Consider the following 16,552-nt stretch of genomic DNA (forward strand, 5'->3'; position numbering starts at 1 on the left):
CACAGTCCTAGATGATATTTTTTAAAAAGTAAAGCAGAAATCTTTACTCCTTCTTAAAACCACCAGTAGACTCCCAGTTCCACTTACAATGTCAGCAGACTCCGCTTACTTCCCTTGCCTGCCACCAACCTGCTCCAGCCGATGGCCCTGCTCACCATTCCTTGAGTACCCCAGGTTTATTGCGTTGCTGGGCCACCATACGTTGGCTCATTCTCATCACTCTTACCTTCAGAGCGACTGTTCCAATCATCCTCTAAAGTGACTGCACTTGTCCCTATCCTAGTCATTATCTGTCTCCTGGCCCTGGTTTTTTTTAAACCATGGCTTCTATCATTATTTGCATATTTACATATATATTTGTTCCCTGTTCATTCTCAGGCTCTCCCCACTGGAATAAAAGCCCGCTTGATGGCAGCAGAGTTAGCTGTCCTCTGTTTACCACTGTGTCTTCTTAAGAACCAAGGAGGTGCTCAGTCATTGAAAAATGAATGAATCTTCCTCCTCTGCCCACCTCTACATAAGCAGCCTTCTTTGTATCTTTTCTTCAAATCTCCCATCTTCACAAAGCACTCTTTTGATCCATTCATGCCTTGTCTATCAGCCCACCTTTGTATTACTTTATATAGCTTTAAGGCAGAAGCAGTTCAGAAAAGAAAGAAGGTGATGAAAAGTAGAGGGAAATATTAGAAGAGAAGGAAAGAAGCAGGTTAACAAATAATGAGAAGAAGAAGGAAAGAAAGGAATTTTTTTTTACAGAATTCTCTTTAATGACTGCCTCAGTTACCAATGGCTGCCGTCATGGCTGGAGTGTTATACTATAAAAAAAGCAATATTCACATAACCTTACCGCTTTGAGTATTTTTACATACTTGTAATATAACTATATGTTTTACATTTTAGTGGGTAGGATGAACATTTTAGTTTGCAATGGAACTGAGCAAAGAGGGAAGTTGATAGGTGATTGATAAAATACACTTCTTTTATTTTCATCTCCCCATGCTACTTGCTGTTTTAAATAGCACTGTGAATTAGCCTGTAAAAATTACAAACTCAATAGGGTAATTTTTCAGTATAGAAAGGGCTTAATTTATGAACAGATGCTAAAGAAAGCATCTGCTTTGCTGAAATAGGCGTATGGGGTGTTTGTATCACCAGAATTATCATTATTTTCACTTTCAAAAATGATGCTAATGATATCAATTATGATCTTTATACATGACCATCAATGCTTTCCATATCTAGAGTACCTCGAGGTTATCTCTTAACGGGTATCTCTCTGGGTAAGAATGTGGTATTGTTACAGCTTTGCCTTTTTATATCCTAGAAGTTGGTAGAAATAGTAAATTAGCATATAATACAGTCTTTGTGCTCAAACAGAAAAAACATCTATTACTATACGTATAGCTGCATGTCAGACTTGCCTGTCCACTTATTATGGATATACAGATACATGAAAGACTGTTGACTGAGTTTGGATCCACACAGTAAAATCCAGGTTATGATATGCAGATATATTTATGGAAATCCTAACACATTAAGGACCCTAATCAAAGCAATTTATAGAAGATAGCCATTATTAACTTTAAAGGTGAACATTCGTTGTTCTTACCTGCATGACAACCAACTCACGTTCAGTTTTTGTTATGACATATTTCCACATATACTACCAATAATTAGGGATGATTATTCCCACAGTTCATATAGTCCTTAAGAATTCAGGGGAGGTGACTTGTTCAAAGCCAACTGATGGTAGTAGAACAAGGTGTTGGAATCTGCATCCAGTGCCTTGGTCTTGAATCCATCCTATCCAAGAGATTATGGTCTTTTAAATCCTAAGTTGGTTTATTTATGATTTTTTTCTGTCCGTGTTGTCACAAAATGTGAACTTAATCTTGATTTATTTACTCAGCAGATTTTATCTAAAATAGGATTTGTGAGACAGTTGTAAAAGTAATTCTACTTTTAGTTGTATCTGAAAACTAACTGAGAGTATTACATTTTTTCATCTCTAGGTGAAGATGCTGCCAACTCCTTCTAAATTTCATTACATCTTCAATCTTCGAGATCTTTCCAGAATTTGGCAAGGAATGTTGACCATAAAAGCTGAGGAGTGCGCTTCAATCCCTACTCTCCTGTCCCTTTTCAAACACGAGTGCAGCAGAGTAATTGCAGACAGGTGCGTGTTGCGGCACTAGAGTTTAAATGTATGACCTGAGAAGTTTATACTACTTGGTTAATTTTTTTTATTTTTATTTTTGAGATGGAGTTTTGCTCTTGTTGCCCAGGCTGGAGTGCAATGGTGCGATCTCAGCTGACCACAACCTCTGCCTCCCGGGTTCAAGTGATTCTCCAACTTCAGCCTCCCCCGTAGCTGGGATCACAGGCATGCACCACCATGGCCGGCTATTTTGTTGTTGTTGTTGTATTTTTAGTAGAGATGGGGTTTCTCCATGTTGATCAGGCTGGTCTTGAACTCCTGACCTCAGGAGATCCTCCTGTCTCAGTCTCCCAAAGTGCTGGGATTACAGGCATGAGCCACCCTGCCCAGCCGGTTACTTCTTGCATTACCTACTAGGATAAGTAGAGTAAGGAGCATTGTCATCATTTGCTGTGGGGCTTGTGAAGCATTGATGGCATCTCTCACCTGCCCACTGTCTTAAAAAAATGCTCTGCCGATTTATTCCAGTATGACTTCAACAATACATCTTTATAAATCACCAGATCATCAGAGGTGATAACATTCGGAGGCACATTTTCATTGTATATATTTTCTACAAATTTTGTGAGCTCTTTGTAGGTTTTCTGTGGGGAAATCTGGTTTCATCCCTTTAAAGTTAAACAATCCCATTAAAGTTAAATTCAGTCATCTTTTGGAGCCTCCATTCCCTCATCTATAAATCATAGATGATAATGCCAGTTTCACAAAGTTGTAAAGTGTCTACCATGTCTCACACAAGGGTGATACTTGTCAAATGTTACTCCCCTTTGTCCTCTCTTCCCTCTGTTATATTGTCAATCTGAAAAGGTCCTTTGTGTACTGAATCCACCAACCCAGAAAGAGGACGCTCGTCCACTACCGACCATCACTTCTGCTCTCCTATCGCAAGTTTTAGGGACCTTTGATCTCACCTAAGTGATTCATCTGTGTTTTCTATAAGTAGTGCTGTTAATGTTATAACTTTCTTGGATGGGGTTATGCCCTTCTTATCAAAAGGCAGAACATATTGTTTCCCTGTCCTGAATTGAGAAGGTCCAGGGTGGGGCTGAGAAGAGGCGAAGGGACATGTTCAGTTAGAAAAGATGCTTTCATATTTAACATTCTTACTACTACATTTTCCTTTCAGATTTATAACTCCTGAAGATGAGCAGTGGTTTAATGCACATCTTACTCGTGCAGTTGAAGAAAATATTGGCTCTGATGCAGCGTCGTGTATTCTTCCTGAACCATACTTTGTGGATTTTCTTCGTGAGATGCCAGAACCAACTGGTGATGAACCTGAAGACTCTGTGTTTGAAGTACCCAAAATATATGAATTGGTATTTATTTTCATCTCTTAAAAGAGGTTTTCAGATTGCTCACCTGACTAGATCTTTCTCTCTGCACCAGAGTCCTACCATGGAGTTGCTATAATTCCAGCACTTTGGGAGGCTGAGGTGGGAGGATTGCTTGAGCCTGGGAGTTTGAGACCAGCCTGAGCAACATAATGAGACCCTGTCTCTATAAAAAATAAGAAAAATTAGTCGGGTGTGGTGGCATGCTGCTGTACTCCCAATTACTCAGCAGGTGGAGGTGGGAGGATTACTTGAGCCCAGGAGTTTGAGACTGCAGTGAGCTGTGATTGTGTCACTGCACTCTAGCCTGGGTGACAGAATGAGACCCTGTCTCAAAAAAACAAACAAACAAACAAACAAACAAACAAAAAAACAAAAAAGAGAGAGAGAGAGTTCAGTAAGATGACCAAGCATTATATAAATGTGAAATAACTATCCTCTATACCTATACCAAGGGTTGGCAAATTATAGTTTCTGGGCCAGATCCAGCCAGCCCACTGCCTGTTTTTATTAGACTTACTAGCTAAGAAGGATATTTATTTGTTTATTTATTTATTTATTTTGAGATGGAGTCTCTCTCTGTCACCCCAGGCTGGAGCACAGTGGCACGATCTCGGCTCACTGCAACCTCCGCCTCCCAGTTCAAGCAATTCTCCTGCCTCAGCCTCCCGAGTAGCTGGGATTACAGGTGCCCCCCACCATGCCTGGCTAATTTTTTGTATTTTTAGTAGAGACGAGGTTTCACCGTGTTGGTCCTGTGATTACAGGTGCTCGCTACCATGCCTGGCTAATTTTTTGTATTTTTAGTAGAGATGAGGTTTTATCATGTTGGTCAGGCTGGTTTTGAACTTCTGACCTCAAGTGATCCACCCATCTCGGCCTCCCAAATTCTGGAGTGACAGGCGTGAGCCACCATGCCCGGCTGATTTTTCATTTTTAAATAGTTACCAAAAAATAAAAATAAGCAAAAGAATAATATTGTGTGACATGTAAAAATAATATAGAATTCAAATTTCATTGTTCATAAATAAGGTTTTATTGAAACACCCATTGGTTTAAATATTGGCCATAGCTGCTTTTGCACTACAATGGCAGGGGTGAGTAGAGACTGAATGGGCCTTAAAGCCTGAAATATTTACTATCTTGCCCTTTACAGAAAAAATTTACCAACACTTGCCAACAATCACAAGACAGAAAATATAACATAAAAGTATTTCATTTAACAGCAACAACAATATTAACATGTAGGAATTAACATGATAAAACTTTACTTAAACAGCAACATGTCATTCTTTCTAAATTAATATATAGGTTTAATGAAATTTGAAACAAGATTTCAAAGGGACTTTTAAAAACAGGGTTATATAACAAAGTAATTCTAAAGTTATATAGAGCCGGGCGAGGTGGTTTATGCCTGTAATACCCGCGACTTGGGGGAGTTGAGGTAGGAGGAGCCATAGAGCCAAGGAAGTCGAGGCTGCAGTGAGCTATGATTGGACCACTGCACTCCAGTCCGGGTGACAGAGTACCTTGACTCTAAAAAATAAAAATAAAAATAAAGTGTATGCAGATCAAAGAATTAGATGGGGAGGAACAATTTGCAAAACAAAGAAAGTGGGTGTGGATTTATTTCAGAACAACAAAGACTTGTGGATTTAACTCCATAAATAATGTAAAACCTTTTTATATTTTTGAAAGCTGCAAACAATATTAAAAAGTAAGTAAAAACCAAGAAAAATATTTCCTATATTAATGTGTTAATTACTATGGATAGGAGTTGGTAGGGAAAGGTCAGAAATGATTTTGCACTAGAAACCAACTAATACAGTTAAGTTTCAGGCCTTAGAAAATGGAAATAACTAAAAGTAGACTAATACGTGAGAAACCTCTGGAAATCCATAACGTTTAAAAAAAGATATGTATATTTTAAAATTACTTTTGAGTGTCTTTACAATTGCTACTTTAATACATACTTGGATCTTAAATATTATTTTTTTATCTTTCTCTCCACCCATAGATGCCATCCTTTGACTTTCTGGCTGAAAAACTCCAGTTTTACCAGAGACAGTTCAATGAAATCATTAGAGGAACATCTCTTGATCTGGTGTTTTTTAAAGATGCAATGACTCATCTTATTAAGGTCCTAACTATTGCCTATTTACTGATATAAATAGATGATTTAAAAGCTTCGTATATTTCATAGATAAATTTTTTGAGAGAATAACTATATACTATCAGGTACCGTATAGAAGACTGTACATAGGTTGGGTCAATTCACTGTCCCAGAAAATAAAGGCTTAATAGGAAACCCTTTATTTGAATCCATCTACATGGCAGCAAATGTCTTTCAAGGGCAAATAGATGGTTTTCTGTTCAGAGCTTTTGGCACACTGAGTCAACAAGAAAGTATGGAGAACCTTTAGAAAGTATGGAGAACCCTGTGAAAAAATATACTTCCCTCAAATTATATTTTGATATTATGGGAATTCTGTTGCCCATGGAGGAAAAGATGTTGCTTTTAAAAGTGTCAATGTTATGATTGACTTACAGGTGATGGGACAGGGGTAAGGTTGATATATAGGACTGGTGAGAGAATAGAAGCCAGTTAGAGGTAACACGAAAAAGGGGTGTTTTCACACTAATCTATTCAACAAGTAATTATTGACCATTCACCGTGGCTAGATCTTGAGGTTCTGAGATCCTATTCTGAGTGCAAAGCCATAAGTGATTAATATATTTTAAAATATACTGATAGAATTTACACATACCAGGGTGTCATTATTGATCCACCATCTGCAAAACTTGTATTTTTTTAAAAATTATTTTTAGTGGTGATAGTGAATTTACTGATCCATCTAGACTTTCTCCCTAATTGGTGACAATAATATAAAAGACAGCTTTTTAGCAATGTCTTCAATTGGCCTGCATGAGATTTGACCCACAATTTGAGTCTTATCTTCACTGAGGAAATCAACCATAGAAAAGCAACACAACATGAAAGGCTGTCTCTCCAAGTTGGCTTCTAGAAACATCCTCCTACCCCACTGTAAATAGAATTATGGTACTTAAAAAAATTTGTTGGCAGAGATATGATAGAGTTAGTGTTCATTGTTGAGTTAGGTGTCTACATGATTCAGTGTGTCAGGCTGATGAATAATAAAAAAACAATTGTAAACATTTCTTATATCTTCTGCAGATTGGGAAGAGCAGCTCCACTATCCATTGGGTCTAAAAATAATAAAATTCTACATGCGTGCACACGCATGAACACACACACAGAATAGTTTTAAAATAGAAGGGAGTAAATCCAGTTTGTTCTGTTCTTCATGATGTAAACATAGATGGTCAAGGAAAGATTCGAGCTGAACAAATCAGTATTAAACTTTAATTTTAAAAATTCTGTCATAGACCATTAACGAGGAAAAAGTCTAATATCATCTAGAAACATATGATCAAAACTTGGGCTCATTTAGTGCAAGAAAATGTAAACATTGCATTCTTTTTTCAAATAAGCACGTTTTAAATCTCAAAACAGATTTCACGAATAATTCGAACGTCGTGTGGAAATGCATTGCTGGTGGGTGTTGGTGGTTCCGGAAAACAAAGTCTTTCAAGATTGGCCTCTTTTATTGCTGGCTATCAAATATTCCAGATAACATTAACCAGGTAGGATGAAATAAAACACAATATGTTTTTCTATAGTTAATTTCTCTATAGTTAAATGTTTAGAAAAAAAGGAAGCACAACAGTTTCCTGTATTTCTTTTTAAGGTAAACTTTAAGTATTATATATATAAGGATATTTACGCAAGTGTCACAAAGTAAATACATCTATGTAGCCAGTCTACAGATGAAGAAATAAAACACTTCTTGTATCCCAGAAGTGCCTCCATGTTACGTTGCAGTCATTACCCTCCCAAGGGTAACCATATTCAAAGGGTAAGCCCATTGATTAGTTTTGCCCAGTTTTGAATTTTGTATCAATTGAACTATACAGGATTTGCTCTTTGCATCCTATTTCTATTACTGCATTGTTTGTGAGATTCATCCATGATGCTACATGTAGCAAGAATTGTTCATTCTTTTTGCTGCATGATCTTCAACTTAATCAGATACTACCACAGTCTATTTATCCATTGTACTCTTGATAAACATTTGGTTTGGGGCAAATAGAGCTACTGTAAATATTCTTGTACATGTCTGAGTACACATCTAGAGTTAAAATTGCTGGATGTAGGTTATCTGTATATTTAGCTTTAGTTGATCTGCTTAGTAGTTTTCCATGTGGTTGTACCAATTTACACTTCCACCAACATGTCATGAGAGTTGCTCCGCATCCTTGCTCCCACTTGGCATTGTGTGTCTTTTTCATTTTAGCAAATCTTTTTTTTTTTTTGAAATGTAGTCTTGCTCTGTCGCCCAGGCTGGAGTGCAATGGCATGATCTCTGCTCACTGCAAACTCCACCTCCCAGGTTCAAGCGATTCTCTTGCCTCAGCTCACGAGTAGCTGGGATCACAGGAGTGTGCCACCATGCCCAGCCAATTTTTGTATTTTTAGTAGAGACGGGGTTTCACCATGTTGGCCAGGCTTCTCTTGAACTCCTGACCTCAAGTGATCAACCCGCGTCGGCCTCCCAAAATTATAGGCGTGAGCCACCGCGCCTGGCCGATTTTAGCAATTCTGTGTGTGGAGTGGTAGCTCACTGTGTTTCAGTTTGCGTTTCCCAGATGGCTAATGATGTTGAGCACCTTTTTATCTCTCATTGGCCATTTGGATAGGCTCTTTTGTGAATTATAAAAGCCCTTTCTCCATTTTTTTTTCAATTTGTTTGCGATTCTTTCTTATTGATTGTTAGGAATTCTATATGTGTTTTGGATATAAAGGGTGTATATTGCAAATACCTTTGCTCAGTTATTGATTTGCCTTTTCATTCTCTTAGCGGATCTTAATTTTAATGAAACATTCATTTTTTTCTATTTAGTCCTTTTTTGTATTATATTTTAAAATCTTTGTTTACCCTAAGGGCACATAGATATTTTCCTATGATTTTCTTCACATTTACACATAAAATTTACTACTTTCTCATTTAGTACTATAACTGACCTAGAATTCATTTTCTTATAATGTCTGACATAGGAGTTGTGATTATTATTTTCAATATTGATATCCAGTTGATCCAGCTCCATTTATTAAAAAAGTCATCTTTTCCCTGCCACATCACAGTGCCATTTTTTGTCTTAAGTCATCTGATCATATATGTGACTATATAGTCTCCTCCACTGGTTTCCTTATCTATCTTTGTATCATTACCTACTATATTAATTGCTGTAGCTTCTTTAGTATATATATTTAAATTTAACATATGTATATTTGGTAGTGTCAGATCTCTAACTTTGTTGTTCTTCAAAACGTCTTGTCCATTTGGCCTTTTATTTCCGTATAAAATTTAGATCACTTTGCCAATTTATAAACAAACACACAAATCATTCTGCTGCCAAACAAAAGAAAAATAAAAATTGAACAAAATACAATTTATAGAAGTATTTTAAAAACATAAAATATCAAATAAGTAGGTATTAATTTAATTTTACTTCAAAAAATTAAATTAGTTGTCAGCATTTAAAAATCGGGAGGTTTCATGTTTTAGAAAAGCGTATTTCTGACTTTTTGAAATAATTGGAAGATCTGGCAACCTAGGGCCTACACTCCCAGGTGGCAGAGCTCAGTAGCAGCTGCCTCCTTGGATGGGACATGCAATCCTCCAATCCACAGGCCCCAACAGCACTGCTTCACTCACTGGCATTATCTGTCTGATTCCTGTAGGCATCTAAATTTGGGATCCTGAGATAGGTGGTGTTGCACTGATTGTAGTTAGGAATGACGGAGGCTTAAATTAAGGCAAATTTATTCACTATATTTTCTTAATTTCTGTATTCTTGATACCCTGGCATCTGAGACTCTGCTGACTGGGGAGAGACTGACCCTTCTAGGTTAGCCAATTCTTAGAGATTCAAACAGCTCCTCCAGGAGAGTACCTTTCATATGCAAACCAACCAATCCAGAGTCCTTACTCCCAACCACCACCTCTATCTGGTGGGTGTGTGGTGGCATCTCATGGTGGATTAGAATATTCCTCTGCCCTAATCACCCCAGGGCCACATACCAGTCAACAAGGGACCACTCCTATGCCCCAGAGGCTGCTGAAATTATTCAAACTAGCAAATCCTAATTCTGCTTACCTGCCTTGCCTTTCTCATGGAAACCACAATAAAGACTCTTGCCCGTGTTTTCCCATCACTCCTTTTGCCTCCTGATTGACTCTGGTGTTTCCCCATGTCACCCTACCTAGCATGTCAAGCCCCCTTCTGTTTCTGGGGATCCTTGAGTATAAACATCTTGCTTCATGACAGTCGTTCCTGTGTCATTGTGTCTTACCACACTTGATTACAACAAATTCTGGATACATTTTATAACAGCAGATGAAGTGGGAATAGAGAGGAAGACTCAGCAGGGACAGTTTAAAGTATGCAGGATTGATAGGACTTAGTAACTGACCCAATATTCAGGAAGAGGAGGAAAGAACAGGAAGGCTAGGATGACACTCTAATTTCTCTAGTGGTACAGTTGTGTGCCCCATAAGGACATTTTGGTCAACAACAGACAACATATATGATGGTGGTCACATGAGATTATAATGGAGCTGCCCTATACACGAGTAGCATTTTAAAAATCTTTTATACTGTATTTTTACTGTACCTTTTCTATGGTTAGGTAGATACACAAATATGGACCATTGCATTAGAATTGCCTATGGTATTCATTCAGTGCAGTAACATGTTGTTCAGGTTTGTAGCTTAGGAGCAATAGGCCATTCCATATAGCCTAGGTATGTGTAGGCATACTCTACGCTGTTCTGTATTAGTCAGTTTTTGCATTGCTATGAATACCTGAGGCTGTGTAATTTATTTAAAAACAGGTTTGTTTTGGCTCAAGGTTCTGCAGGCTGTACAGGAAGTGTGATGCTGGCACCTGCTTCTGGTGAGGGTCTCAGGAAGCTTTCAATCATGGCAGGAGGCAAAGGGGCAGCAGGTGGTCATATTGTGAGAGCTGGAGTGAGAGAGTGAGGGTGCAGGTCCCAGACTCCTTTAAACAACCAGATCTTATATGAACTCAGAGTTAGAACTCACTCATTACCAAGGGGATAGTGCTAAGCCATTCATGAGGGATCTGCCTCCATGACCCAGACACCTCCCACCAAGCCCCGCCTCCAACATTGGTGGTTACATTTCAACACGAGATTTGGAGGGGACAAACATCCAAACTATATTATGCTCCCACAGTTACAATGTTTTCTTTTTCTTTCTTTCTTCCTTTTTTTTTTTTTTTTTTGAGAAGGAGTCTCACTCTGTCACACAGGCTGGAGTGCAGTGGTGCAATCTCTGCTCACTGCAACCTCCACCTCCCGGGTTCAAGCAGTTATCTGCCTCAGCCTCCCGAGTAGCTGGGATTACAGGCGAGCACCACCACGCCTGGCTCATTTTTGTATTTTTAGTAGAGGCAGGGTTTCACCATGCTGGCCAGGCTGGTCTTGAACTCCTGACCTTGTGATCCACCTGCCTCAGCCTCCCAAAGTGCTGGGATTACAAGCATGAGCCACCGCGCCCAGCCACAGTGACAATATTTTCTAAGGATGCATTTATCAAAATGTAACCCCATTGTTAAGCAATGCATGACTGTACTTACCACACTGCATTAAAAAAAAGTGCTTGTTCACATACATTTCTATCTCCTTCACTAAGCTGTAAGCTCCCTGAGAATGGGCCACTGTAATCTTTGTCTTTTTTACTTTTATTATTAAATGCTTACTTTTAACCAATTCTGTAAAAGGATGTGTTGAATAAATAAAAAAATGACCAGCTTTGAAGGGTAAAGTGAGAATTTAGTTCAGTACATTTGAGTCTGAGGTGTCTGCAGAACACAGTGTCCATAGATAATAAGACTCATGGATGTGGAGTTCAGGAGAGGGGTTCTGGTTCTGGAGATAGCAATATAGAAGTCTCAGTAGAGAGGAACCTTTTGTGGTCATGGGGAGTACGAATAGGGTGCGTCATGGAAAGAAAAGATGGCTGTGGAAAGAATTCTGGGGTCTCCCAACATAGAGAAAGGGGGCTTGCGATGGAGAGTGAGAAGAAGAGGCAAGACAGAGAGGAGGAAATCCAGAGTGGTTTCCAGAAACTAAGCAGGTAGATAATTAATCTGAAAATGCTGGCCGGGCGCCCTGGCTCACGCCTGTAATCCCAGCACTTTGGGAGGCCGAGGTGGGCGGATCACCTGAGGTGAGGAGTTCGAGACTGGCTGGCCAACATGGTGAAACCCCATCTGTACTAAAAATACAAAAAAATTAGCTGGGCATAGTGACAGGCGCCTGTAATCCCAGCTACTCAAGAGGCTGAGGCAGGAGAATCGCTTGTACCCTGATGGTGGAGGTTGCAGTGAGCCGAGATCATGCCATTGCACTCCAGCCTGGGCAAGAAGAGTGAAACTCCGTCTCAAAAAAAAAAAAAAAAAAAAGAAAGAATCTGAAAATGTTAAGACATGAAAAGTGGCAACTGATATGCATGACGACACTTTCAGTGAAGTGGATGGGTGCACAAGCCACATTGCATTAGGAAGAGAAGAAGCACAGAGAATACTTTTGGAAAACTTGAAAGAAAGAAACAAGAGAGGTCAGGATCTGGACAAGGGGTGTGTTGTGACTGTCTCTATGTATTGCAAAAGCAATACATCACAGTCAGTCTAATTCTTTAAAAAATCAGCCAAATTGACCTCTTTGGCTGATTAGTTCAGAGACTGGCCAGTCAGTGAGAGGATTACTCTGACAGCATCAGGCCACTAGATCTTTCTGGTTCCAGGGCTCATAGTCTTTCTGTGAGACCCCATGGCCTACTGCCCATTACTTGCATTGTAACACCTCCTTCCAGTGAGGATTACCTTTTAGTCCTTGTCATTAGCTTACCCATGAGGATTTACATACAACATTTCAGATAATGTCTGCTTTATTTTTACACATCTCATCACCTCTGGTAGCACATACATTTAACCGGAAACAGAGTGAACCAAAAAACAAAGACCAAGATCTTTTCATTCCATAATTTGTAGCCATCTAACATTTCTATTATTTATACCTTATTGCACAATGCATCTTTTTCTGTGGGTTTTCTTTGTATCTAGCCACTTAATGAGCTGTGCAAATTGCCACTATATACAATTTATGACTAATTTTATTCATAACGTATTTTGAATTTTTCACCAAATCAAACTCATCCAAATTTCAGATGAGTTTTAGATATTATATATATATTTACTCGGACAAAATCTGTTGCTGAGGACTGTCAGATTGCAGGGACTAAAAGTTCATTTCTCTATTCCCACTTATGCTTTGTGGATCACTTTTGGTAAGTTCCCTGTTTCTCAGTTCTCAGCTTAAACGAAATATTTGTTTTGAATGGTAACATATCACTCTTTAGCTCTAATCTCTGTGTTTTCTAGCAGGCACCATTACTTAGTATCTATTGGAGCAGGTACAGATTATGCTCTAATAATCACAGGCTATTATTATGTTTTGGGATAAATTATGACTATGGTTTTTTTTGTTGTTGTTGTTTGTTTGTTTATTTGTTTTAAGAAGGAGTCTCACTCTGTCGCCCAGGCTGGAGTGCAGTGGCATGATCTCGGCTCACTGCAACCTCTGCCTCCCGGGTTCAAGCGATTCTCCTGCCTCAGCCTCCCAAGTAGCTGGGATTATAGGCACACACCACACACTTGGCTTTTTTTTTTGTATTTTTTTAGTAGAGATGGGGTTTCACCATGTTGGTCAGGATGGTCTCGATCTCCTGACCTCGTGATCCACCCGCCTTGGCCTCCCAAAGTGCTGGGATTACAGGTGTGAGCCACCGCGCCCAGCCGACTATATATTTTTTAATCTAAAACTTTCTATCATTTTTCTTCTTAGGTCTTACAATGTGACTAATCTAACAGATGATTTAAAAGCTTTGTACAAAGTTGCTGGTGCTGATGGAAAAGGCATCACTTTCATCTTTACTGACAGTGAAATAAAAGATGAGGCATTTCTAGAATACCTTAACAACTTGCTATCTTCAGGGGAGGTAAGTCTCAAAAGTAGAGAAAAAGCCCATATTGTAAAAATATAAATTATATTGGAATAGAAAAAGCAGCAACCTTTCAAAAATGAGGCTATTTAGTACATTTTTTATTTTAGACATGGTTAATGTACGAGATTTAGCAGATTTTCTGAAGTTCCTGTGAAATGAATGCTGCCCATCTCCAGATGCTTTGTTTAATTTTGAACATGGTTCCTTACTTGTCTCTTCAGTCTTCACTTTGGTCTTATAATTTATTTTAGGAGAAGCAAAGTATCTGTCCATCTATCTGCATACTAGTGAGGAGTATAGAATGGTTGAAAGAGTTCTGTTAGTTGTAAATGGATGTCTGTACTGCCACTTCTGAAACCGCTTGTATCAGCACTTCCGTGAGCACTCACATCTTTAGTACTTCATCAGAAAGACTCACCAGACTCAGCATATACAGGTCGAGCTTCTCAAATCCAAAACTCTGGAATCCAAAATGCTCCAAAATCTGAAACTTTTTGAGCACGGACATGATGCTCAAAGGACATGCTCATTATTGGAGCATTTTAGATTTCAGATTTTTTGATTTGGGGGTGCTCAACCAGTAAGTGAAATGCAAACATTCCAAAATCTGAAAAAAATCTGAAATCTGAAACATTGTGGTCCCAAGCATTTTGAATAAGGGATGTTCAACTTATAGTTATACTCATGGCTGAGATTTATTGTGGCAACACAGTAAGGATACAGAGCCAGATCAGTAGAGAAAAAGACTCATCTTGTGGAGTCATCGATGTTCCAGGAACATGGAATTGATGTTCCAGCTTCCTATGCTTTTGCCAAGGGGCCATGCAGAACGTCCTCTCCATCCAGTATGAAGGGCAGTAACATATGCACTGTTTCCATTCAGGGAAGCCCACTTGAGATTCAGAGTCCAGTGGTTTTTTTTTAGGTTTGGTCACTTCCTGCCTAGCTACAACTACCAAAGTTCCAGATTCCTAGAAGGAAAGCAGATAGATGTTTGCCATGTATCACAAGGTTTGTGTAAACAGTCTAGTTGGCACTGCAAAACAACCTTATCAATTACTAATGGAGGAGACATTCCAAAAGCCAAGTTCCCTGATAACAGACAAGGGTCAGCTCTGCAAGCATACCCTTTTCAAGATTAGGCCTGCTGTGTTAACTCTTCCCTACACCATGGTATACAGATGCTTAATGGTGCAAAAATTAGTTAAGTATTTTGGAGCCAGAGTTGATTAGACTGACTCTGAGTCAAAGTACAGAGGGCACCCCTGGACATTTTAAAGAGATGATTGAGTGGTGGTGGAGATAGCTTTTTGGTGATAGCTATTGGAGCACAGGAGAACACAATTAGTTCTTGATTGAGCTGCTCAATAAAAAGTTGCAGTCTTGATCATCTCTGGCAAATCAGGGATTTGACTGTGGAGATGCTGAAAGAAAATATGAAACAAGATGACATGCAAATTAAAAAAGGGACTGGACTTTGGCAGTGAATTGACTGTGGAGAACTCTTAAAACACAGAACACTTCCTTGTCCATTCCTTAAAGATCTCCAACTTGTTTGCACGAGATGAGATGGATGAAATCACCCAAGGTCTGATTTCAGTGATGAAGAGGGAGCTACCTCGCCATCCTCCTACCTTTGATAATTTGTATGAATACTTCATTTCAAGATCAAGGAAGAACTTACATGTTGTTCTCTGCTTTTCTCCAGTAAGTTTTTATTTTTATTTATATCTACGTAGAAAGAGTTCCTTATTTAAAGGTGCTTAGTTTGCCTTCTCTGATTAGAAAATGATCTTAGAAATTAATATTTTTACATTGAATTAAAATTAACACTTTTGTACCACACAATCTCCATTGACCAAATTCTCATTTCCAGTGTAATTTAAAATATTCATATTATTAAAAAATACTGCATAACCTGCAATTTTCATTAATTACCTAGAGACATGGGTTGTTTGAATTGTAAGGGACTTGGTGATGTAACCTCGTCCAGCTCCACCTCCCATGTAGACATATTAGCTTTACTATAATGTCTCTGATGTAGGTTTGAAAATCTCTATCTCATTGTGCTTCCCAATATAGTAGCCATTAGGCATATATGGCTACTTAAGTTTTGATTAATTAGCCTCATTTCTACTTACTATTTGGTTTATTTTTGGTACAGGGTCTTGCTCTGTTGCCTAGGCTGAAGTGCAGTGGCATGATCATGGCTCACTGCAGCATCAACCTCCCAGGCTCAAGCCATCCTCTCACCTTAGACTCCCAAGTAGCTGAGACTACAAGCATGTGCCACCATGCCCAGTTAATTTTTGTATTTTTTGTAGAGACAAGGTTTTGCCATGTTGTCCAGGCTGGTCTGGAACTCCTGAACTCAAGCGATTCACCTGCCTGGGCCTCGCAAAGTGCTGGGATTACAGGCATGAGCTACCGTGCCTGGCTTAGCTCCATTCCTGGTGCTTAGTAGTCATGTGTGGCTAATAGCTACCACACTGGAAAGCATATATATAAAGCATTTTTATTATCACTTAAAGTTCTATTGACAGCTCTGCTCTAGGGAGTCTCACTAATTTATAAGGCAGCCTGCTTCATTCTTGGATAGTCTAATTGCCAAAAAGCTCTTATTTATAATCAATAGAATTTTGTCTCTGTACTTTTCTGATTCTAACTCTGCCCTATACAAGGAACTCAATCCCTCTTCCGTGTAAAGTTTTTCAGATATTTGGAGAAGGTTTTTGCAAGGCTGTCTAAGTTGATTCCTTTTTAGACCAAACAACTGTTCCTGCAGCTGTTCTCACTTGTCCCAGTGTCCAGGCCTTTTGCTGTCCTG

General features: G+C 38.9%; 1 protein-coding gene and 1 long non-coding RNA gene across 9 annotated transcripts in view; one reads left to right on the plus strand and one right to left on the minus strand.

The window, feature by feature from the left end:
* Nucleotides 1-16,552, plus strand: part of DNAH8 (dynein axonemal heavy chain 8) — a 315,482-nt gene that overhangs the window by 177,378 nt on the left and 121,552 nt on the right. For all 8 annotated transcript variants that reach the window (XR_926078.3, NM_001206927.2, XM_011514319.3 and 5 more), the window contains 6 exons: nt 2,013-2,176; nt 3,345-3,537; nt 5,570-5,692; nt 7,088-7,218; nt 13,566-13,719; nt 15,268-15,432. Coding sequence is in view for 7 of the 8 variants with exons in the window: in NM_001206927.2 (NP_001193856.1) it covers nt 2,013-2,176; nt 3,345-3,537; nt 5,570-5,692; nt 7,088-7,218; nt 13,566-13,719; nt 15,268-15,432 (930 nt within the window). In the remaining variant the exon portion in view is untranslated. The remainder of the gene's footprint in view (nt 1-2,012; nt 2,177-3,344; nt 3,538-5,569; nt 5,693-7,087; nt 7,219-13,565; nt 13,720-15,267; nt 15,433-16,552) is intronic.
* The window catches only part of DNAH8-AS1 (DNAH8 antisense RNA 1), a 46,613-nt gene continuing 43,867 nt past the window's right edge, over nt 13,807-16,552 (minus strand). Inside the window, exon 5 of the long non-coding RNA NR_038401.1 lies at nt 13,807-15,149. This is a non-coding gene — a long non-coding RNA (DNAH8 antisense RNA 1). The remainder of the gene's footprint in view (nt 15,150-16,552) is intronic.

Source organism: Homo sapiens, chromosome 6 (genome assembly GCF_000001405.40).
Source record: "Homo sapiens chromosome 6, GRCh38.p14 Primary Assembly".
NCBI classification, from domain to species: domain Eukaryota; kingdom Metazoa; phylum Chordata; class Mammalia; order Primates; family Hominidae; genus Homo; species Homo sapiens.